Raw genomic sequence first — 22,735 nt, forward strand, 5'->3', positions numbered from 1 at the left:
GCCCTGGCGGGAAGCAGCTTCCTCCATTTATTCGAGTGCTGAACAAATAACATTTTCAAATGTGTTCAATGAATTAATGTATTGTTGCTTATTTCAAAATAATTAGAAAGATCACTTAGCAGGGCTGAATCCAAATTCCCTATGGAATATCAACTAATTAAGTTGGAATCTTAATTAAATGATTAATGGAATAGACTTCTAATAGATGAAATTAGCTATATTTCTCTCTATTCCATATTCTTTTCGTGGATTTTTGTCATTGACCCCAATTTGCTTGTGGAAACTGGGAGACAACAGAAAACTCTGAAGCACTGGTTTAGAACACAGATGGCCTGAGTTCCAGTCCATGTCTGCTCGTGGATTGTGCGTAAATATTCTACCCTCTCTAGACAGTAGTTCCCTCCTTATCTGTTTCAATGTGAGGCTTGGATTTGCTGATCTATGGAATACCAAGTGTTTTATTTTGATAAAAATATCCCTATATTCATTGATTATCAAGTTTGTCAGTTCTTTAAACAAATGCAATTTGTTTTTCAGGGTGCTTATATTTTTTTCCTGTCATGCTATTTATTATGTATTATAATTAACTCTCCAAATTAATGGTTTTCAAGTGTTAAATGGTAGAGAGCAATGATTCCGAAGACAGTAGATGGGTATAGTAGATAATGTCACATTATCTCCTTTGATAATGAATCGTAACTTCATAATAACTTAAACTGTCATATTCTTAAACTAAAGAGGAAGTTCTGTGTGGGAGGATAGGCGGGTGTTAAAGATAAAAACATAATGGGTTTTGGTTGTGAAATTGTGATATCATATTCCCTCAAAAAGGCTCTATGAAGTCAAATGTAAAACAGTATCCGTTGAAACAAAACAAACTTCATTATTATTCTTTTGCTCCTAGGTAGGCTTCTGAAACATTTCGTTTGTTTACTATTTTTACTTCTTATACAAAACCACGTCTTTTTTTTTTTTTTTTTTTTTTTTGAGATGGAGTCTTGCTCTGTCGCCCAGGCTGGAGTGCAGTGGTGTGATCTTGGTTCATCACAACCTCCGCCTCCCGGGTTCAAGTGATTCTCATGCCTCAGCTTCTCATGCCTCACCCTCCGGAATAGCTGGGATTACAGGTGTGTGCCACCACTCCCGGCTAATTTTATTTTTTGTATTTTTACATGTCTTTAAATGGTCCTTCATGTCTTTGTGTGTGTGAAGGAATGGGAGGGGTGGGAGGCAAGAGGTTGGCAAAGAAATCATTTGTCTCTTTGTCAAAGAAATCTCAAAAAGACATAATGATCCACCTATATTCGCTAGTGCATTTTTTTTTATCACGTCTCTGCAGAGTTGGGATATGTAAAACAAAACACAAGGTAACATGTTTCACACTTAAAAGCATGATAGACTGTAGGTTACAGGTGAAGTGAGGTGAGGTGATTTAACAAGCTGCAGTGTTTTAAATATCTCCTATACTAAGTGGTTTGGTTGCAAAAGGAACTTCAAGGGAACATGACATGACCTAAAATATAGAGAAGAGCGTCTTATTTAAGCAATACAATGTGTGAAGTATGTTAACAAAATCTAGCTCTGCGTGTACTATATAATATCTGAACTGGGATACATCAGCTCCTGTGGTTCACTATTTTTGGTTCTAAAATGTCAGTACTAGGGGCCAGCCTAACGGTTCTGATTACCTTTCACACATTAGGGAGATAGCAGCTCTGAGGTATCATATGATACAGACACCTTCTCTGTACTGATCAAACACATCATTCAGTATGGAGTCATTAACTGGAAGGGTTTGCAGCAGTGGAAGTGAACTCTAAACACCACTATGTCCTTCACTTATTCATGCAAAAATTATTTATTGTATACTTACCCAGGCATTGGGGATACAGCCTTAAAAAAGATTACGACTCTGCCCTCACAAAGCTTGCATTCTTGAGAAGGGAGACTGATAATAAGCAACAAATCCAAAACATTGTTTCAGACAGTGATGAGTGCTGAGAAGGAAATAAAGCAAGGCCAAGTCTTTATAGAGTGTTTGTGGCTATTTTAGATGTATGGTCAGACAAGGGTTCTTTGCAGAGGTGACATTTGAGCCGAGACTTAAATGACAAGATGGAATCAGTAGGCAAAGCACTAAGCAGAAGAAACAGTTCTTGTGCGAGGAGCGAGCAAAAGGAATTATTAACAATGATGGATGGAACTTGGCGACTTCCGGGAACAGCATGAAGGCCTTTGTTACCAAAATATGGTGAGTATGTGCTGATGAGGTCCCAGAGTTAGGCAAGGAGTTTCATTTTTTATTCTAAGTGCAGTTGGTATCCACTGGAAGTTTCAAGTAGAGCGTGCGTTGTGAGGGATGTAATAACAACAGGCAGTTTAAAATACAATATTGTACTTCGATTTGACTTCTTCGAAACCTAGTTTCCAATTCCAGTGCTGGTCAAACAACACCCTGGCCGTCCCTGTTTGAGCAGGCTGTTTGCGCTTGCCGCGGCTTGTTTGTCCCTGGCGCCCCGCTGTTGAAAGCCTCAGAGCGTGTGACAGTTGGCAGGCGCAGTGAGGCGCAGCCCGAGCCAAGTCAATGCAGGGGCCGGGGCTGAGGGAGGGGAAGAGGCAGAGGAGGCGGTGATGGCGCGCTGGGAGGGCGGCGGCCTCTGCAGCGAGGGTGGTGGCGATGCGCATACCGAGAGGATAAGGAAGCGGTTCCCGACGAGCCTCCTCGGGGCTTATGGGGCCCCTGGCGGTTCGGCCTCGGAGGCTAGCGGGGCTGCCCGATTTGGCACTGGAAACAATGGTGGCTCGGGGCTGGAGGCAATGGCGCGAGTGCTGGGGGGCAGGGGCGACTAGGGGAGTTTCGGTTTCTCGGGCCTAGCGCCGCGGAGCCTTGCTGCGGGCCCCAGTGGTAGCACCCCCGGGAACCGCAGGTGTTGATTTAAGGCTCGGAACAGGCGGGCCTTCTGCCCACATCCTGCGGCGCCCGCGACCCGGGCCGGGCGATCCGGCGCCGGGTTTTGTTATCCGCCCGCACCTAGAGGCCGCAAGGCAGCCGCCAGCCCCGGGACTGGACCCCAGGGCGCCCTCGGCCCTGCGAGGTCCCCGCCCTCTCTTCCGTCTCCTCCTCACCGCCCTCCTGAGGCACTCTGATGCGGGCGGGCATCTCTGCCGAAAACACCTACAGCGCCCGCTCCCTCGGTCCTTCGAGCAGTGATCCCTCCGCGGCCAACCTCCCCAGGGAAACCAGCGATTCGCGGTTCAGATAGCGACCTTCGCCCGCAGGTTCCTGCTCTGCCTTCAGACTTCGGCTTCAGTGGCACCTGCTCAGCGAGGCCTCGTCTAACCAAGCCATCCGAATTAACTACCCACTCACTCGCCATCACATCACCCCGATTTAATTCGCAGCGGGGCACTGACTTTACACTCGTGTGTCTTCTGTGTTTATTTATGGTCTGTTTCTGGAATGTCCGCTCCTGGGACTGGGACCATGATTTTCTGGCGCAGTGCGGGTGTCTCGGCGTCCGGGATCGGGCGGGTCGCAGTAGGGCTCCACATTTGTTGAGTGACTGAACACCGTTCCCGGCCGGGGAGAGCGCCGCAGCCGGGTCCACTTCAGGTAGGGGCTGGGCTTTCCCGGCCCCGCCTAGGCCCCGCCCCCAGCGCGAACCCGCTCCCACCTCGCCTGTCCACGGAGCAGCAGGGGGTTTGACTGTGCTTTTCCCTCTTGCTTCCCTCGCTCTTTCTGCAGCTGCCACGAAAACCCGGAACGGCGGAGCGGCGCCGCCCCTCGCGGCACCTCCCTGGCAGCCCTTGGAGGCCGCGCTGGGCATGCTCAGTCAGCTGGGCCGCCTCAGCTCTCGGAGTAGGAAGCTCGGGCGCTCCGGCTGTAAGGAGCCGCGGCGGGGGGAAAATGGAGCCCTTCACCAATGGTGAGTGGGCTGCCGAGGCGCCGGGACCCGGGCTCTCCGGAGCCCTGAGGGTCGTGGGCAGTCGTGACACGCGGGGTCGGGCTGCAGCCGTCTCCCCCAACACCGCGGGCTTCCCACGAGGGCTGAGGGAGGCAGGGAGAGGGGATCTGGGGGAGGCAGGGAGGTTCGGGGGGCGGGCGGCGGCCAGTGCGGGACCCGGGGCTGGCTTGAAGGTCAGCGCCGCCGCCGCTCGCCCGGGGTGCGGCCGGTGGGCAAACAGCAAAGTTTGGGCTGCTGTGCGCAGAGGAGTGGGCAGTGGGAAAGTTGGCAGCTCAGGTTTGCCCCCGGAGGAGGCGGTGTCGGCCCGACTCTCCTGTAGGAGCGTTAAGTTGTGGCAGCTGCCGAGCCCAACTTTTGTGGGGCGCCAGGAGCTGTCCCCCTGCCCTTCAGTGAGCTGCCGGCGTGACTTTTCCTAATAGGGCGGGGTGGGGGTGGGAGGCTTGGCAGGTTAATGTTGTGGAAGGAAGGGAAACTTCAGGAAAGGCTTGCTCACCTCGCTCGGTGCCGCGGAGGTGCCTGGCCACAGTGCCACCCTCCTGACCCTGCCGAGGTACTCGGCAGGGCCACCACGCATCCCCTCACTGGCTGCAGATCACATCAGTTTTTCAGTCAAAGACTTGTTAATGTCAAGGGTCCGTCACGGTGGTGATACCACTGTGTGACAGGAAGCGAGAGTCAACGCAGGGAGCCTGCACCCTGCAAACAGCCACAGCCCTTCACTGAACGGGGAGCATAAATCCCACCCTAGTTAGAACCATGGCTTTTGTGCGGACCAGAAGTGCCAGAGCCACAATATAGGGGTGAGATGTCTTACCGTTTTGCGGTGTTGAGTGTGTGGATTCCCTTTTAAGATAGAAAGTAGGAAAACTGCCAGTAAGGGAGACGACTCACTAAAAGAGGATTCAGTCTCTGGTTGACATGTTTTGCTGAGTGTGGTTGGTTACTTCAGGTACAGTATCACATTAATAGGGGCCACAGTCTATATCCCTGTTTAGTTTGTTAGTTACCACTCAAGAGCAGACAGATATTGTCCACTTTATCCCAAATCCCAGCCAGACTTTGTTGTATGCTGTGCTTCATTCATGGGGCTGTGAACTACTGATTATATTCTCCCTATTCCTAATGTAGAATGCTTTATTCTACTGCCATCTTTCTGTCTGCACTGTTTAATTAGGCTTACTGATAACAACTTTAATTCTGAATTTTCTTTCTCATTCAGGTTCTATTTGTAATTACTAAGACTTAAAGAATAGTCTGGTGAAGTTACTCGAAGAATTAAGGAAGGTTTGAGCTAAAATGAACTAGAGACCATCTAGTACTTTAGTGTAAAATATGTTTAATACAAGTCGTTAAGTCCTTGTAAGTGACTATTCCAATGTTCATTCTTTGTTTTTGGAAGAATGCTTGGAGTTACCATGTTTTTAAATGTGAAATTTCATCTAAATTAAAAAAAAAATCTCTGTGATGAGGCTGACTCACCCATTTGGTCAAGATTAGTGCTAGCTGATTTGCTGAACCTTTGCCTACAGAATTAAAGTACTTTCTCAAGTTTTAAAATTGGTGTCTTTTCTCTTATAGAATATGCTTCTAGATTGCTTCTAGATGTGGGTATTTGCAAACTGTCACATTTGGGAGGACAATGGAAAAATCCCACAGAAGAGAACAAAAAAAGAAGCAATGCTTCAACTTTCATGTAGGAAATTGGATTTCTGATTCTTTCCTATCTTTCAGAGTTGATGCTGGAGACAGCTTGGCAGTGCATAATTTTGGTTAATGTAGCAATCACTCCTTGGAGCCTTATTTAGCATCCTTTTACAAGGAAAACAGAAACGACAATATCTACAGTCAATAAGAAATTAAATGTTAGCAATTTGAAGTGCTTTTCAGGTTTAAGATGGACAGGGTATTTATTTGAAAACTTTTGAAGGATTGCTGTAGAATTTTCTAGTGTTTTCAAATGACATGGTACAGTAGACAGTTATATACTTCATCCTTTTGAGTACAAAAAATAATGCATGTATAATGCTCCCATTGGTCTGGGTGTGATGATGCAGAGTATTTCATTATCCATAGAATTTATGATTGCAAGATTTATCAAGCCTGGTATTGGATTTTGTTACACGTTCATCCTCTTTTAATGGAATCTTTCCCACTTACACTTTTTCATGTATCCCTATATATGTAGAGAGGTGTATGAGCTTAACAAAAAACAGTTTCAGTAATTTAGGACCACATATCTTTTAGTTAAAATCTTGTCAGTGGTTCCATCTACTGACCTATGCATTTGTAAAGGAAGTGAATTTAGCTTATATCTTGTCACTCTAGCCTTCAATACTCATCTATTCCAGTACGTTTTTTTTGTAGTTTCCCTGTTTTCTGTCCAAAGTTGCCACTGGTATGACCTATTTTTGTTGGGCCCTGCTCTCTACCTGTTGATAATTGGTTCATTTGATGAATATCCTATGTTAACCTGTTCAGGTAACATACTTCTGCAACCCATTTAAAATGCATATCCCTGGAAAGGGCTTATAAGGATGGATCTTAGTGCTAGGAATTCCCATTTAGCTCAGGATCTATTTTTGGCTTTGTCCTTGGGAGGGATTGCTATTATGTTGAAGTCTGGACATCTGGTCTGGGTTTGGATCTTTGGTGGCTTTTTTTATGAAGAGAGATGTGCTGGACCAGTACTTAAGATTGTTTTGGCAATAATGATTATGTCTTATTAGGCAGGTAGAGGTAAAACTGTTAAGTAATAGTGATTTGTATATTACAAAAAAAAAAAAAAATTGAAGGCAACTATCTGCTTTTTTGGTTAGAGATATTAGATTAAATAATTCTTTGATGTTTATCCAGATTTTTGTCTTCATTTGCATGCAGGGTTGGTATATTTTGTAAAAACTTAAATTCATCTTAAGAAATGCAAATGCTAAGGTTCACCCTCAGAATCTGATTAAGGAGGTCTGATTATATATGAAATACATACTAGAAAGTATGTATACTTTCTTTTTTTTTTTTTTTGAGACACAGTCTCACTCTGTTGCCCAGGCTGGAGTGCAGTGGCACAATCTCAGCTCACTGCAACCTCTGCCTCCCGGGTTCAAGTGATCCTCCTGCCTCAGCCTCCCGAGTAGCTGGGATTACAGGCGCCCGCCACCATGCCCAAATAATTTTTGTATTTCTAGTAGAAATGAGGTTTCACCATGTTGGCCAGGTGAACTCCTGACCTCAAGTGATCCGCTCACCTTAGCCTCCCAAAGTACTGGGATTACAGGCATGAGCCACCGCGCCCAGCTGAAAGTATATATACTTTCTAGTTTGTGATATATTCTAAAGTATATCTAAAGGTTGGTATTTTGGCATTTTGAGGTCCCAGAACTGAAAACATAAATAGTTTTTTTTTTCATATGAATGTAGGTCCTATGAATCACTTTTATTACCGCAGTGTGGTGCATAATCAAACAAGGAGGACTTAGTTGTCTTAAAAAATTATTTTTGCTTTCATGTTCAGATTGGTATCCAGTTGAAAGTATTTTTCAACTTCAAAAATGGGAAGTCTGGGCAACAAATGAGATATTTGTGGGTTGTAATACAGTATAAAATTGTGATTCCATCTTTTAATCTTACAAATAACAATTGTTCTATAGATATGTGAGTCTTTTTAAAAAAAAATTTTTAGCATCACTTCTCAAAAATGTGAGCATACCACATTTTGTTTTTATTTTTCTTTTGCTCTATGATAAATTTCCACATTGAAAGACAACTCTTAAGAAATAGGAGCTCATAGTTTCTCTGTGTGATGGAATATAAGTTAAATCCTGTTTTTATCTTTCTGTCTTAAGTTTTTAATTTTATTTGGGGGAAATAAGACTGTTAGGAATTAAGTGTTAGCATCACTAACAATCTAGGGTTAAAGCTATAGCTAGAAACAGCCCAGTTTTTAACTGGAAACTAGTGGTAGAAAAGTTCTTTGCTATTACTTGCCAGTTTCCAAAAACTGTCTTGATACATGCATAAAAACAGCATATTTTAGAAACTCTTATAACCGGTGATTATCATTTATCTGTAGGTTATCCTTGAGAACTCAGCCTGAAAGATAGATAACCAGAGAGATTGGTTATAAGGAAATTATATAGAAAATAAGTGGTAATTTTCTGCTCAGTAATTCAATCATACAGCTATCTTTTGAATGCCCATTTACAAGTAGATTTTCTGCTAGACACAGTTACATTAAAAAAAAAAAACCCACAACCTCGTCATCAGATAATGCTTACCTAAATAAGAGAAATGAATAGAAGAACCTAGTTTTGTTGTCATGCTAATATGAAATATGGAAACACAGAAGAAATAAAAAAGCAATAAAGTTTTGTCTAAGACAGTATTCTAATTATGAAATAAATGTACAGAAACTGTTCATAACTGTTTGCATGTCTACTAATTTAGTGTAATACTCCTATTAGGAAACAGCAGTATTAACCCTGTCTATGAAAACATTAGGAAATTGAGATTTGAAAGAGTTTAGCCAAGATTACCCCAGATGTTGGGATGGACCTAGATGAGGCCTGTGGTTCTTGGCAGTCGAGGTGAGGTCAGTGCAGCTATGTTTTGTCAATTAGTCACCTCATGACTTGAAAACTGTAGGGCAGCAGTCCCCAAACTTTTCGGGACCAGGGACCACAGTCGGGGGGATGTATGTATACTTTCTAGTTTGTGATATATTCTAAAGGGGAGAAGGTTTGGGGATGACTCAAGTGCATTATATTTATTGTGCACTTTATTTCTATTATTATTGCATTGTAATATACAATGAAATAATTATACAACTCACCATAATGTAGAATCAGTGGGAGCCCTGAGCTTGTTTTCCTGCAAGTAGACAGTCCCATCTAGGAGTGGTGGGAGACAGTGACAGATCAGGCATTAAATTCTCAAAAGGAGCACACAACCTAGATCCCTCACATGCGCAGTTCACAATAGGGTTCGTGCTCCTATGAGAATCTAATGCCACCACTGATCTGACAGGAGGTGGAGCTCAGGTGGTAATGCTAACGATGGGGACTGACTGTAGAGATGAAGCTTCACTTGTTTGCCTGCTGCTCACTCCTGCTGTGTGGCCTGATTCCTAACAGGCCAGAGACTGGTACTGGTCTGTGGCCTTGGGGTTGGGCAAACCTACTGTAGGGGGCTGGAGTTGAGCTGATACTACTAGGCCTTTCCATAGTATAATTGGAGCAACCAGAAAGACACAGTCTTTTATTTATTTATTTATTATTATTTTTTTAATTTGAATCCGTAGATAAATTTCAGCAACTTTTCTGAAAGTTTGCAAGAAGCCAGGATTGAGAATGAAGGGACATTTTGGAGCCCTTGTGGTGGTACAGTTCTTTTTATATCTAGATCTTGACCTAGATCTACATATGGCCGTTATAGAGAGTGTTGCTTATTGCCTTGGTGTTTCTGGACAGTAAATGGAACATCAAGAGTTCTCTGTGTCCATGGAAGGGTGGACAGGATTCCCTTGTAACCTTATCCATTGTTGTAATTCATTTGTGATTGTCCTAGCAGCACCTGAAGGACTTTGCATTTTACAAAGATGTTTAGAGAAAATTGGAAGAGGAGAATCAATGATGAAGATGAAAGAAATGTGGAGATTGGGGGTAAAGGAAGAAGCTGATAGGCAGAGATTTTAAAAATGGTCATGCCTTGATCCTTGCAAGTCTTTGGTTCAGAAATGAGCTTCAGTTGGAGAGCAGGACACTGTTGTATGAGGTTGAAGACAGAGTCTAGGTTGGAAGGGGACAGGTAGGTAGGTCTGGTTGGATTAATGGAATTGGGGGCTCAGGGGACAAATGAGTTAAGATTGGCATTTGGGAGCCTTGCCAAGAGATAGAAAACATTTGCCAGAAATTTAAGCATACTGTCTTTTTTATAGTCAGAAAATTCAGTCACTCGTAAGTTGGGACTGTTCACTTGTCTGAATGTTTTAGATTTAAAGAAAAAATATAGCTCTTTGATAAACAACGTGGTGTGGAGCTGTGGTAAGCCTGCTCTTGCTCCTGACTCACCGCCGCTCGCTCTCACCAAAAAACAGGTTGGTCAGGAGATACAGAAAAACGCCCATGAAGCCAGAGGTGGCAATTCACTGAATTAGAATCACTCTAGGCCCAGCGCGGTGGCTCACACCTATACTCCCAGCACTTTGGGAGGCTGAGGCAGGCGGATCACCTGAGGTCAGGAGTTTGAGGCCAGCCTGGCCAACATGGTGAAACCCTGTCTCTACTAAAAATACAAAAATTAGCTGAGTATGTTGGCACGTGCCTGAAATCCCAGCTACTCGGGAGGCTGAGGCACAAGAATCACTTGGACCCAGGAGGCGGAGGTTGCAGTGAGCCGAGATCGTGCCACTGCATTCCAGCCTGGTGACAGAGCGAGACTCCATCTCAAAAAAAAAAAAAAAAAAATACGAGAACACTTGGACACAGGGTGGGGAACACCACACACTGGGGCCTGTCATGGAGTCGGGGGAGGGGGGAGGGATAGCATTAGGAGATATACCTAGTGTAAATGACGACTTAATTGGTGCAGCACACCAACATAGCACATGTATACATATGTAACAAACCTGCACGTTGTGCACATGTACCCTAGAACTTAAAGTATAATAAAAAAATAAATAAATAAAAAGAATCACTCTAACGAGCTGCAAGGTAAAATCCTTGGAGAAGGTGTGTGCCGACTTGATCAATGGATCAAAGGAAAAGAATCTAAAGTGATAGGACCAGTTTGAATGCCTACCAAGACTTTGAGAAACATTACAAGAAAAACTTCTTATGAAGGTTCTGAGACATGGTATTGTTTCCAGATGAGAATCCATAAGTGACTCATTGACTTCCACAGTCTTTCTGAGATTGTTAAGCAGATTACTTCCATCATTATTGAGCCAGGAGTTGAGGTTGAAGTCACCATTGCAGATGCTTAAGTCAACTATTTTAATAAATGATTACCAGTTGTTTAAAAAAAAAAAAAAGAAAACTATAGAGAGCTATCTACCTTTTGGGACTACCATGGTAGCAGTCATTTGCTGTTCCTTTTTTTGGGAGGGACGGGAACAGGGTCTTGCTTGGCTGGAGTGCAGTGGCACGGCCACAGCACTGCAGCCTTGACTTCTCAGGCTCAAGCGATTCTCCTGCCTCAGCCTCCCGAGTAACTGGGACCACAGGTGCACACCACCATGCCTGGCTAATTTTTGTATTTTTTGTAGAGATGGAGTTTTGCCATGTTGGCCAGGCTGGTCTCGAACTCCTGGGCTCCAATGTTCTGCCTGTCTTGACCTCCCCAAGTGCTGGTACTATAGGTGTGAGCCAGTGCGGCCCTGTGGCCAGCCTACTATTCTTTATAGCCTGGCTTTGCTTCACTTTTCTACTGGTGCTTGTGATAGAACAATGAACCAATTAATTTTTTTAAAATTCCATCCTTAACATGTAAATGAGGAGGAAACCAGGTCATTTGCCAAATAAGGAAAATTCAAGCTTCCAAGGGAGTTTCAAAAAACAATGGAGGATCAAGTTCAATTGTAGGAGACTTTTTGAAATTCTTTTTCTTCTAATACATATTGCTTAATGAAGGTACTCCTGGGCATTCCACATATTTCAAAAATGTAGTCACTGAACCAGAACTTGAATCAGTTGTCTGAATTTCTCTGGATTGTGGGGCTCAGAGTCTTCTCCAGCCAATGATCTGGGGTGAAGGAAGTTAAAGAAGGCTTCTTCAACTGAGGGAACAGAAGAATGAGGAGTGCAGTGAGAAAAGGATGCCTCTATGGGTTGGGTGTGCTCCCTTCCTCTTGCAGCAAGTGATGAACAGTGCTATGTGGGAGCATTTCCCGGACAACTGACTCAGGTGTCATTCAGTGCCATAGAGAAAATTTCTGGTAAGGAAGGAGGCTTAAGCCATAGTATTTCTCACAGCTGAAACTGTTATTTTGTCAAATTTAAAACAGTTGTTAGTATATTCATCAATGAAACATCATTACATTGTCAATGAAACATTTCATTGTCAATGAAAAGAGTCAAACTGTAAAATCTTTAAAGAGGCTTATTCTGAGATAAATAATGTGTGACCAAGGCCCAAAGCACAGTCTCAAGAAGTCCTGAGAACATGTGCCCAACATGGTTGGGTTACAGCTTGATGTTATACATTTTAGGGAGACAGAAGTTATAGGCAGACAACAATCAATACATGTAAAGTGTACATTGGCTCAGTCTGGAAAGGGGATAACTCAAAGCGGGGACTTCTATTCCAGTTCATAGGTGGATTCAAAGATTTTCTTTTTTGTTTTTCTTATTTTTGCTTTTTTTTTTTTTTTTTTTTTTTTTTGAGACAGAGTCTCATTCTGTCACCCAGACTGGAGTGCAGTGGTGCAATCTCAGCTCACTGCAAACTCCGCCGCCCAGGTTCAAGCAATTCTTGTGCCTCAGCCTCCTGAGTAGCTGGGATTATAGGCATGTTGCCACCACACCCAGCTAATTTTTGTGTTTTTTCAGTAGAGATGAGATTTCGCCATATTGCCCAGGGTGGTCTTGAACTCCTGGCCTCAAGTCATCACCCACCTCAGCCTCCCAAAGTGCTGGGATTACAGGCATGAGCCACACATGTGGCCACATTCAAAGATTTTCTGATTGGCAGTTGGTCGAAATAATTAAGTTATTATCTAAAGACCTGGAATCCATAGAAAGGAGTGTCTGGGTTAAGATAAGGTAAGGGGTCATGGAGACCAGGGTTCTTAATATGTAGACGAAGCCTCCAGGTAGCAGGCTTTCAGAGAATAGATGGTTATTATCTCTTATCAGAACGTAAAATGTGCCAGACTCTTAGTTAAATCTCTCCTGGATCAAAAAAAGACCTGGGGTGGTGCAGTGGCTCACACCTGTAATCCTAGCACTTTGGGAGGCCAAGGCAGGAAGATTGCTTGAGGCCAGCAGTTCAAGACCAGCCTGGGCAACATAGTGAGAGCCTGTCTCTACAAAAAAATTAAAAATTAAAAAAAAAAATTAGTCAGGTGTGATGGTATGCACCTGTGGTCCCAGCTGCTTGAGAGGCTGAGGTGAAAGGATCACTTGAGCCTGGGCAAAGTGGAAGTGAGCTGTGGTCATGCCACTGCACTGCAGCCTGGGCAAGAGAGTGAGACCCTATCTCAAAAAAAAAAAAAAAAAAAGAGATCAGAAAGGTCTTTTTCTATAGAATGTTCCACACAAGAGACAGCTTTGCAGGGCCATTTCAAAATAGGTCTAAGAAATATATTTTGGGGTAAAATACCTTTATTTCTTTCACAGCCTGCTATCTGTTGTGTGATGTTATACTAGAGTCAGTTTAGAATTTGGTATTTTATTGCTACAAAGAGTGTTTCGTCAGTCTTAAGATCTCTGTTTTAATATTAATGCTGGTCAGTTGTGCCAGAATTCCAAAGGGAGGAGAGTATAATGAGGTGCGTCTGACCCCCGCTTCCCATCATAGCCTGAGCTAGTTTTTCATGTTTACTTTGGAATGCCCTTGGCCGTTCAGTCAGAGGGGTCCATTCGGTCAGTTGAGGGGCCTAGAATTTTATTTTTGGTTTACAAAATCATTCCAAGATCCTCTTTAGAGGAAAAATTTATAGAGATTAGTGGGAATGATGAGGAGAACTCAATCTTGAGAGCTCAATCAAAAGGAGATGTTTAAATATCTTTTTAAGTTGGTATTGGTAAAGTGCTTTGAAGACAGAAAGAATGTAATACATGTCTGGTGTCTGCTTGTCCTATAATTGTCGGAAGGGCCTCAATGATGAAATAAGGGAGGCTGCCATGACACTTGAGTCTTGGTGAGAGGAGCTAGTGTGTCCACATTTATCAAGATCACCTGCAGGAGTTTGGGCTGGCCCCCTCTTATTAGTAGTTTCTCTGTTTTTTAAACTGGAGGCTCAGCGCCTTAGTATCTAGATTGGGTAGCTACATTATGAAGATAACTCAAACTGAACAATAGAGTATTGGGTATTAGTGGGAATAAGAAATGCATTGCTCTTTAAAGCAGCAGCCTCACTTCCATCTGCATCAGTACAGGATACTGAGAGGCTTGGTAGCATTCCACTTGTAGGAAGCACACAGAAAAATAATTGAATATAGAAAAGAGGGTCTAGTGTGACTTGGGGATTAGATAATAGAGCATGTTGAATTAGATGGAAATAAGCACATGTTCACTAAAGTGTGGCTAGCTTTGTTCCAGTCCAGTTGTTCACTGCAGTTGGGCATAATTCTGTTTTAATTAATTACCAATTCAGGAAATATTATTGCGATAAAGACTTGAAGAATTTATGCATAGAATCTTGTCTTGGCACATCATCGAATGACAATGACTATTAGTAGAAAAAATGTAGTTACTATCCCAGCCTTTTGACTAATCCATAACTAATTTTTTAAGTTGGTTAATGATAAGCAAACTGGCCCTCAGTCAGTTGTAAATTGATGACAAAGTTGTTACTATAAAGACTGAAGACTGTCGTATACCTGGTGTTTTATCAATCCAATGAGTCACATGGAAAAGTATTACAAAAAATTATCTGCAAGGTAATTTTTTGTTCAGATCCTTCTGAGATCTGGCAAATAAATGTATTCACCAACTGAGATTTCTTGTTTAACTCACAAGTTTTCTGTATACATTGAAGAGTTCTTATAAATTTCCTTTGCAGATCCCATTCAGTGATATGCATTCTTTGTTAAATAACTCACAGATACTCATTATGTCTAATGTAATTTTTCATTTTAAATAAGGAATTATAGGTTAAGATGTTCTTTTAAGACTATAGTATAGCGAATTGATGGAATTTAAAAGTAAACTTTTTATCTTTAGATCTTGTGAAAGTATTTGCAGCTATGCAGATTTGCTTGAGAGATTAATAAGCATAAATATTTAGGCATCATTGACAATGTAAATTACTTTATATTGCTAAATCTAACAGGGGCCCTAAGCATTGTTAAAGACTGGCACCCTATATTGTGAGGAAAGATTTAAGAAATACTATGGAATATAAAGATTTTTTGTTAATTTGATTGGGGGGACAAGTTTGTATAAATATAAATGTAAATAATTTAACCTAGGAAAAGAAAAAGAAAATTGAAAATTGGAGCTAAAATAATTTGATTTTTCCCTCAACAGGGTTATTGGCTGTCTTTTAAGTGACTAAAAGAGCGTATCTTTATGTGAATTTTAGGCATGGTCATATGATTAATACAAGGATAAAGCAACCAAATGCTCTCAGTATTTATTCCCGTGCTATTTGTCTGTTTTTTAGTTCATGGAGTATTGTATTGTACTTGGTAATTTGATGCTTTTGAGATGTCCTTTAGACAGATTTTTAACTACAGGACTTCCTCTGTAGAATCGACAATGTGTTTCACTCTCTGTGGCATTGACAATGTTTTTGAATGCCTAATTGTTCAGTAGAACTCCGTGGTTATTATTACAACTTTGTACATTATTATAAATATTTTATATTAGTTGTATATTCCACTGCAGATAGCAACCAGAAAACTAAATACAGAAATATTACATATAGAGAGAATATAATGTACAAAAAAAATCTTGGGAGATGAGTGCTTTGGGTTTAATTCTATTTTACTGAAACCAGAGAATAATAGGATTCAAATCTACCTAATTTTTCTATTTTTCTGATTTTCCATTTTTCTCTTTTTGAATTTTTTCCTTTTCACATTACTTTAGTAATTTGTTCTTCATCTCTTATTTTTATCACCTAGACAGAAAATATAGCAAAGCATAAATCATTTTTCAGGTCACCATGCTTCATTCTTCTTTTATTGGGGAAGGGGCAGTGGTGATCCGGGAAGAAGCATAGTGTAAACATTTTAATACAAATTTCTCTTTTTTTTTTTTTTTGAGATGGAGTCTTGCTCTGTCTCCCAGGCTGGAGTGCAGTGGCACGATCTCGGCTCACTGCAACCTCTACCTCCCGGGTTCCAGTGATTCTCCTGCCTCAGCCTCCCGAGTAGCTGGGATTACAGGCATGCACCACCATGCCCGGCTAATTTTTATATTTTTAGTGGAGACAGGGTTACACCCTATTGGCCTGGCAGGTCTCGAACTCCTGACCTCAGGTGATCTGCCTTTCTCGGCCTCCCAAAGTGTTGGGATTACAGGCGTGAGCCACCACGCCCAGCCCAGATTCTTCTTGCATTCTGTTTTAAACTGCTCCCATTAATAAGTATTTTTATTTGTTTTGCTTTTGACTTGTGCCCGTGTATCTTTTTAAAAAACTATTCTATTTTCAAAAAGATGCCCTCCCAAATAGATACATTAAATGCATTAAAATATTCCTTTACTGTATGCTACCTTGTTCTAAGCTTTGTTCTTAAATTTACAAATATTAACGTAGCATGGTCCCTGATTTTGAGGAGCTTACATTCTTGTGGAATTGTTTCTCGAAAAGATTATTAATATGAACATACAGACTAGCATCCTCTCCAAAAACCATCATACTTTGAGAATTATAGGTCCAGTCCCACACCTTTTACTGGAGATACATTTGGTTTTGTAGCTTTTTTTCTTTTTTTCCATTTTGGAGATCTATTTATAAATCTACCTTATTTTGTTGACTACTGTATAGTATAGTATAATAGTGAAGTGAAAAGTTCAGACAGCCATATTCAAATCCTGGCTCTTTATTCACTAGCTCTCTGATTCTTAAGGATATTACCAGAATATCTTAATATCTTTAGTTAAAAACCTAAAATGTACATTCAAAACTTAAAACTTTTTTGAAATTAGCAGTGGTCTAAGATAAGTGGTGGTTTGAGCATATTCCAGCCTTAGTGAGGTTTTGAAAAGCTGGGAACTAATGGTGTTTCTTGGATCCTAATTCTTTACTAAGGGCTTGAGGCCATTATAGGAGGATTCTTTCCATTTCATATTTATTAACAATTTTGAATTTGCAACACTTTCATGGAAGTGTTGCCTAAAGCATGGGTCCCCAATTTGCATGTCAAGGACCATGCTAGGAACTGGGCTTCACAGCAGGAGGTGAGCAGTGGGCAAGTGAGCGTTACCGCCTGGGCGCCTCTCCTGTCAGATCAGGGTGGTATTAGAGTCCCATAGGAGCATGAACCCTATTGTGAACTGCACTGGGGAGGGATCTAGGTTGCATGCTTCTTATGAGAATCTAATGCCTGATGATCTGAGGTGTTACAGTTTCATCCCAAAACCATCATCCCTTCATGCTCTTGCCTCTGTCACTTCCGCCACACCCCTGTCTGTGGAAAAATTGTCTTCCACAAAACCAGTCCCTGGTTCCAAAAAGGTTGGGAGCCACTAGCCTAAAGAGTAGAGGAACTGTACATTCCTACATCCAACTTAATTCTGGCCCAGGTATGCTTTCATGGTGCCTTCAAGAAAATGCAATATGCAGCACCTCATTATTCATACAAATAGGTTCTATTTGTTCAGCCGAAAAACATTAATTACATATAGCAGACAAAAACACAGTTCTTTTATATTTGCTACAATGGTTGGCGTCTAACATAGTGTTTTGTTGCACACATATTAGATGCTTAATAAATGTTATCTGAGAGTAATATTACTCCAAACAACTCCAAAACAAACATTTAACAGTTTTGTTTGGACTCTTAAATTAGAGGTCAGTCAGTCTGTCTATCCTTCCGTCCTCCTTCCCTCCCTCCCTCCTTTCCTTTTCCATCCTCCCCCTCACCTTTCCTTTTTCTGTAAACTTTTCCATAGCAAATAGAGTAATTCCAAATCATTTTTTGGAACATTCTTATTAGTGTTCATTCAGCTTCCCTTTCCACTGAAATGAATTTATTGAGTACTTGGAGTATTTCAAACCCTATGCTTTGTACAGAGAAGACAGTGCTAAATAGGAAACCCTCTCAGTGTTAGAGGGAAAGGAAGATGATGTGGAGGGAAGGAGTCTCTTACTCTGAAGCATTTTCAAAATCAACATTAAAGAGTGAACCAACATTTACCTCCTTTCTTCTTTCATCTTCTTATTTCATAGCTAGAGAGCTGCTGTGCGTTTGAGACCTAAGTGGTGCAATTAAATCAATTTCTCTTCCTACAGTGCTGCAAGGACTTCTGGCTGACCTATATTGGGGCACTTTGCTCTTCATTAGAGAGCCACAAAAACAATTCCCAAGCCAATTAAATTCAACTTTTAAAAAGGAATTTCCTAATATACCATAGAGTTGGTGAGAAGGCAATGAATGGGTCCCACAAGCTTTCATGTAGCCTTATGGGAAGAGTAAAGGTTAAGCTGTGTCATGGTTGTCAACTGGGCAAAGCCACTGAAAGGCAGGACTCTCTATTAGTTGACGTAACAAAATATTAATAACTAGTGTTATGAATTAGTTGCAGTATGAGCTGAGGTATGAAAGCATGAATTTTAGACCTGACACTATCCAGGAGGGAAAAAAGTGGATGTTTCTGTACTGATGTTAATCAAAGGTTAAAAATCAAATGACATTTTGAGGAAAACAAACCTAAACAACTCATTAATGGCCACACAACTTAAATTATTGTGTGCGGTACTATGAATACGTTGATTCACTACTTCCTTCCCGCTTAAAATCTCCATTTCTCCCTACTCCTTAGTATATTTATAGAGTAATTATATGGGAACATAGTATAGGCAGTGTAGTAGTCTGCTCTGGCTGTTAGAATGAAGTAATACAGACTGGGTGGCTTCGACAACAGATATTTATTTACTTACAGTTCTGGAGGCTACTAGTCCAAGATCAAGGGGCCACCATAGTTAGTTTCTGGTGAGGGCTCTCTTTCTCACTTGCAGAATGCTACCTTCTTGCTGTGTCCTCACATGGTCTTTGTTCTGTGCATATGTGGAGAGAGCGAGCTTTGCTGTTTCTTTCTATCAAGGACACCAATCCTATTGGATTAGGGCTCTACCCTTATGACCGAATTTAACCTTAATTACCATCTTAAAAGCCCTGTCTCCAAATGCAATCACAATGGGGGTTAGTGCTTTTTTTCTTTTTTTGGCGGGGGGCGCGGGGGACAGAGTCTTGCTCTGCCACCCAGGCTGGAGTGCAGTGGCGCGATCTCAGCTCACTGCAAGCTCCGCCTCCCGGGTTCACGCCATTCTCCTGCCTCAGCCTCCCAAGTAGCTGGGACCACAGGCGCCCACACCACGCCTGGCTAATTTTTTGTATTTTTTAGTAGAGACGGGGTTTCACTGTGTTAGCCAGGATGGTCTCGATCTCCTGACCTCGTGATCCACCCGCCTCGGCCTCCCAAAGTGCTGGGATTACAGGCGTGAGCCACCGCACCTGGCGGGGGGTTAGTGCTTTAATATGTGAATTTGCAGGGTGTCGGGGGCGGGATGGGGGATACAACTGTATCATAGGAGTCTTCACTTTAGACAGTTTCTTTCTGTGAACCTCAGGATAAAGAAAATTACTTTTCCACAGGAATAAGTTTTTGGAGTTTACATTCCTGCCTGAGGATGTTAAAAGAAGCATCTATAGTTAAGTTCAATTTTTTTTTTTCTGGACACAGTAATTCAGGATGATCCAAAAAACCCCTTGTCCCATTTTTGTCCTGCACTGAAGCAATTCAGACTTTCTGTATTTATTTACTTTGTGTATTTACTCTATATGCTTTTAGTATACTAAACTTGCATGTTTGGATCAAGATGTCTGGAGAGTTTGGGAGTAGTTTATCTTCGAAGGCAGAGTTATGCTTCTCAAACATTTTGGTTTTAGAATCTCCTTTACACTCTTAAAATTTTTTTTATCGAGGACCCCTAAGAGCTTTTGTTTGTATGAGTTATTTCTCTAGATATTTAAAAATTAACACTAACATTTTAAAAATATTTATTTAATAACAATAAACACCTTTTACATATTAAATAAAATTTAAAAAAAAGAGAATTATTATTTTCCAAAACAAAAGGATTAGTGAGATGCATTATTTTTCATTTTTGCAAATCTTTTTGATGTTTGGCTTAATAGAATACAACTGGATTTTCAGATTTGCTTCTGCATTCAGTCAGTTGTAATAGCACAAGTCATGTAGCCTGTGGAAAACTCTGCTGTACACTCATGAGAGAAGTGGAGTGAAAATGGCATATAACATATTATGATGAAATAGTTTTGACTCTGAAGGCCTCCTGCAAGGGTATCAGGGATTTCTAGGTGTACCCATATCACATCTTGAGAACATTAATCTTGCGTTTTTCAGGAACTGGAGAGGAATAGTTTAGGAGTCCACAGAAGGTAGAAAGTGGAGCTGTTGGAATTGGGCAGCAAGTTTCTTAAGATAGATCTAGGTCACAGGAGGGGAATGTTCTGGCCAGGCATATTTGACTGGCCACATTATCAGATGCCTTGGTTATGTGCGGATTCTACCGTCATTTATTTCAGCCCTAGATGGTGCTAAAGTAGAGAGAGACAGATTTTTCTTAAACTATTGCCTTTAAAAATCATTTATTTTTATCCCCATTTTTTTTGTTTATATCCAAAGGGTTTTCAACAAGCTGCCCCTTTCCCAACACCCCAGCCCCTCAACGAAAACATAATAGAGACACATCATTTAATTTCTCAGCCCTTTCATGATCTCTTAGACTAATCTTAGTTTTCATAAATTAAAGGCCTACTTGGCTAAGTTCATTTACTTTTTTTTTCTCCTACTTTTCTTGATCTCTGGACCCAGGAATCCCAGATGATACAAAACCCTTTGTTTCATACCTGCCCTGCCATAGAATGATCTAGACCTTTAAGAGGACTAGAATCAGCCCTCTTTTTCTGGGCTTTCTGGGGCCAGGAATGACTAGGATTGATCTGCTTTCTCAAGCTTTGCCCCGGGCCTAACCAGGTCAGCCTGGGACCAGCCCGTGGGGTTTGACTATACCTGGAACAGATGGTTAATCTATTGGCTTGCTATAATGTAATTTCCATTTGGCTGGCAGTAGGGAAAGGAAGGTACTTCCTGTAAGCTACACACTGATTTTCATCCAGGTGTTCACACATACCGGGTTTTATGAAAGAGAGCTTGACCCTCGCATTCCTGATTAGCATTTTGTTAGTGTGAAAGTAAGGTATAGACACAGAGACAGGTATAATCACAAAATGGTTGGAGTCTTTTATTGTGTCCTTTTCTTAGAGCAAATTTAATAGAGGAGTTTGATTAGCACCTAAGACTTGCTTAAAACTGAGTTACTAATTCTTTTTCCATTAATAATTGCTACCTCTACCCTCCTTCTCCCACGTTTCTCAGAAACCCAGACATCCCTGAGGCCATTTAAAGTCCTGTTTATGCCGTAGAATACAATGACGTACAAAAGGACATTCACTCCCTGCATGTTGGCTTCCCTTATATGAACATAATATGTGGCCAAATAATATGTTGCCATATATAAAAATGTGTGGTTCTCTCATTTCTAGGATTTTCATGTGTTATCTTGGCTTTTCATCTGAAAGTTTTCTCTTGTCCATTTGTATCTTGGTATTTTCTTTTTCAATTAAAATATTAATTTCTAAGAAGCAAACAAATCTATGTCTTAGTTTATGTATACTAATTCAAGTTTTGTTTTTTACTCCAGATGTGTTGATAGAGGTTAATATAAGAAATGTTTGTGTTGGCATAATGCAAAGGTTATTTTTGATTCTGAACCCATAGCAGTTTCTAACCGGTGTTCGTCAGTTTGTGCTTGCTTTTATCCTTGAGGTTAAGGATTGCTCACCAAGCCTTTGATTACTAGGTACATTGCAGAATAAATAAAATGGTTGCTAGTGTATACTCTGTATTAATCTGTCCACAGCAGCATTGTCAGTGATCTCAAGGTTCTCTGTAGACATTAGTATTGGGTTATGGCATGCTAAAATAGAGATAATTGAGACTATAAAGTTCCAAGTTGAAGTTATCAATAACAACCCTAAAACTATCTTCCTTTTCTTTCCTTCTAAAATAAGACATATGGTAATCTGTGATCAGATGTAAACATGTACATCCTGAAATGTAATTATAAGGTCAGCTGGCCTGAGCTAGAATTCTATTAATATGAAAGTAGATGATATACCTACCCATTCTAACCCATTCATTCAAAATACCTTGAAATACTTACTGACATTATAGAAATTTAGCCCTTCACTCTGCTGATGTTTATAGTTAAGTGTCAGAAATACTTTTATACAGAAGACCTTGTATGGTTCCTTTGTGTGAGTGGACAGAATTTGTGGAGCAAAGACCTGGAATCCAGCATATGAGAATGTGCAATAATTGTTCAAATGAATAAGCTTCTCAGATTTGGCCTTTGTATAATTAAAATCAGAGTGCTGAAGTGTTGCATATTCCTCATTCTTCTCATTCTTGCAAGTCTCTCTCTCTCTCTCTCTCTATATATATATATACATATATACATATATACATATATACACATATATACATATATACACATATATACATATATACACATATATACATATATACACATATATATACATATATATATACATATATATATACACATATATATATATATATATATATATTTTTTTTTTTTTTTTTTTTTTTTTTTTGAGACAGAGTCTTGCTCTGTCGCCCAGGCTGGAGTGCAGTGGCACGATCTCGGCTCACTGCAAGCTCCGCCTCCTGGGTTCATGCCATTCTCCTGCCTCGGCCTCCGGAGTAGCTGGGACTACCGGCGCCTGCCACCACGCCCGGCTAATTTTTTGTATTTTTAGTAGAGACGGGGTTTCACC

At 41.1% G+C, this 22,735-nt stretch overlaps 3 protein-coding genes and 1 pseudogene across 8 annotated transcripts in view, besides 8 other annotated features; 2 read left to right on the plus strand and 2 right to left on the minus strand.

Annotated features, from left to right (window-relative positions):
- Positions 1-3,606, minus strand: part of ERAP1 (endoplasmic reticulum aminopeptidase 1) — a 175,042-nt gene extending 171,436 nt beyond the window's left edge. For all 5 annotated transcript variants that reach the window (XM_047417310.1, XM_017009581.2, XM_011543485.3 and 2 more), the window contains exon 1: positions 1,874-3,606. The gene's annotated coding sequence lies outside the window, so the exon portion shown is untranslated. The remainder of the gene's footprint in view (positions 1-1,873) is intronic.
- LOC124901030 (uncharacterized) lies at positions 1,843-3,827 on the minus strand. Its single transcript, XM_047417984.1, has one exon. The coding sequence runs from the start codon at positions 3,825-3,827 to the stop codon at positions 3,123-3,125; it is 705 nt and encodes a 234-aa protein (XP_047273940.1). The 3' UTR covers positions 1,843-3,122.
- Positions 2,036-2,245: an enhancer, noted in NCBI's record as "active region_22825". NCBI's record gives its function as "activates an Ori minimal core promoter by ATAC-STARR-seq in GM12878 lymphoblastoid cells {active_cell/tissue: GM12878}" and the evidence as "EXISTENCE:reporter gene assay evidence [ECO:0000049][PMID:35858748]".
- Positions 2,306-2,435: an enhancer, noted in NCBI's record as "active region_22826". NCBI's record gives its function as "activates an Ori minimal core promoter by ATAC-STARR-seq in GM12878 lymphoblastoid cells {active_cell/tissue: GM12878}" and the evidence as "EXISTENCE:reporter gene assay evidence [ECO:0000049][PMID:35858748]".
- Positions 2,516-2,635: a silencer, noted in NCBI's record as "silent region_16197". NCBI's record gives its function as "represses an Ori minimal core promoter by ATAC-STARR-seq in GM12878 lymphoblastoid cells {active_cell/tissue: GM12878}" and the evidence as "EXISTENCE:reporter gene assay evidence [ECO:0000049][PMID:35858748]".
- Positions 2,746-2,885: an enhancer, noted in NCBI's record as "active region_22827". NCBI's record gives its function as "activates an Ori minimal core promoter by ATAC-STARR-seq in GM12878 lymphoblastoid cells {active_cell/tissue: GM12878}" and the evidence as "EXISTENCE:reporter gene assay evidence [ECO:0000049][PMID:35858748]".
- Positions 3,076-3,145: a silencer, noted in NCBI's record as "silent region_16198". NCBI's record gives its function as "represses an Ori minimal core promoter by ATAC-STARR-seq in GM12878 lymphoblastoid cells {active_cell/tissue: GM12878}" and the evidence as "EXISTENCE:reporter gene assay evidence [ECO:0000049][PMID:35858748]".
- Positions 3,186-3,495: an enhancer, noted in NCBI's record as "active region_22828". NCBI's record gives its function as "activates an Ori minimal core promoter by ATAC-STARR-seq in GM12878 lymphoblastoid cells {active_cell/tissue: GM12878}" and the evidence as "EXISTENCE:reporter gene assay evidence [ECO:0000049][PMID:35858748]".
- LNPEP (leucyl and cystinyl aminopeptidase) overlaps positions 3,832-22,735 on the plus strand; it is a 101,434-nt gene continuing 82,530 nt past the window's right edge. For both annotated transcript variants that reach the window (NM_005575.3, XM_047417177.1), the window contains exon 1: positions 3,832-3,926. In NM_005575.3, the coding sequence (NP_005566.2) occupies positions 3,908-3,926 (19 nt within the window). In that variant the 5' untranslated portion in view covers positions 3,832-3,907. The remainder of the gene's footprint in view (positions 3,927-22,735) is intronic.
- Positions 4,086-4,155: a silencer, noted in NCBI's record as "silent region_16199". NCBI's record gives its function as "represses an Ori minimal core promoter by ATAC-STARR-seq in GM12878 lymphoblastoid cells {active_cell/tissue: GM12878}" and the evidence as "EXISTENCE:reporter gene assay evidence [ECO:0000049][PMID:35858748]".
- Positions 4,286-4,365: a silencer, noted in NCBI's record as "silent region_16200". NCBI's record gives its function as "represses an Ori minimal core promoter by ATAC-STARR-seq in GM12878 lymphoblastoid cells {active_cell/tissue: GM12878}" and the evidence as "EXISTENCE:reporter gene assay evidence [ECO:0000049][PMID:35858748]".
- Positions 10,647-10,974, plus strand: RPS20P16 (ribosomal protein S20 pseudogene 16; annotated as a pseudogene).

Source organism: Homo sapiens, chromosome 5 (genome assembly GCF_000001405.40).
Source record: "Homo sapiens chromosome 5, GRCh38.p14 Primary Assembly".
NCBI lineage: Eukaryota > Metazoa > Chordata > Mammalia > Primates > Hominidae > Homo > Homo sapiens.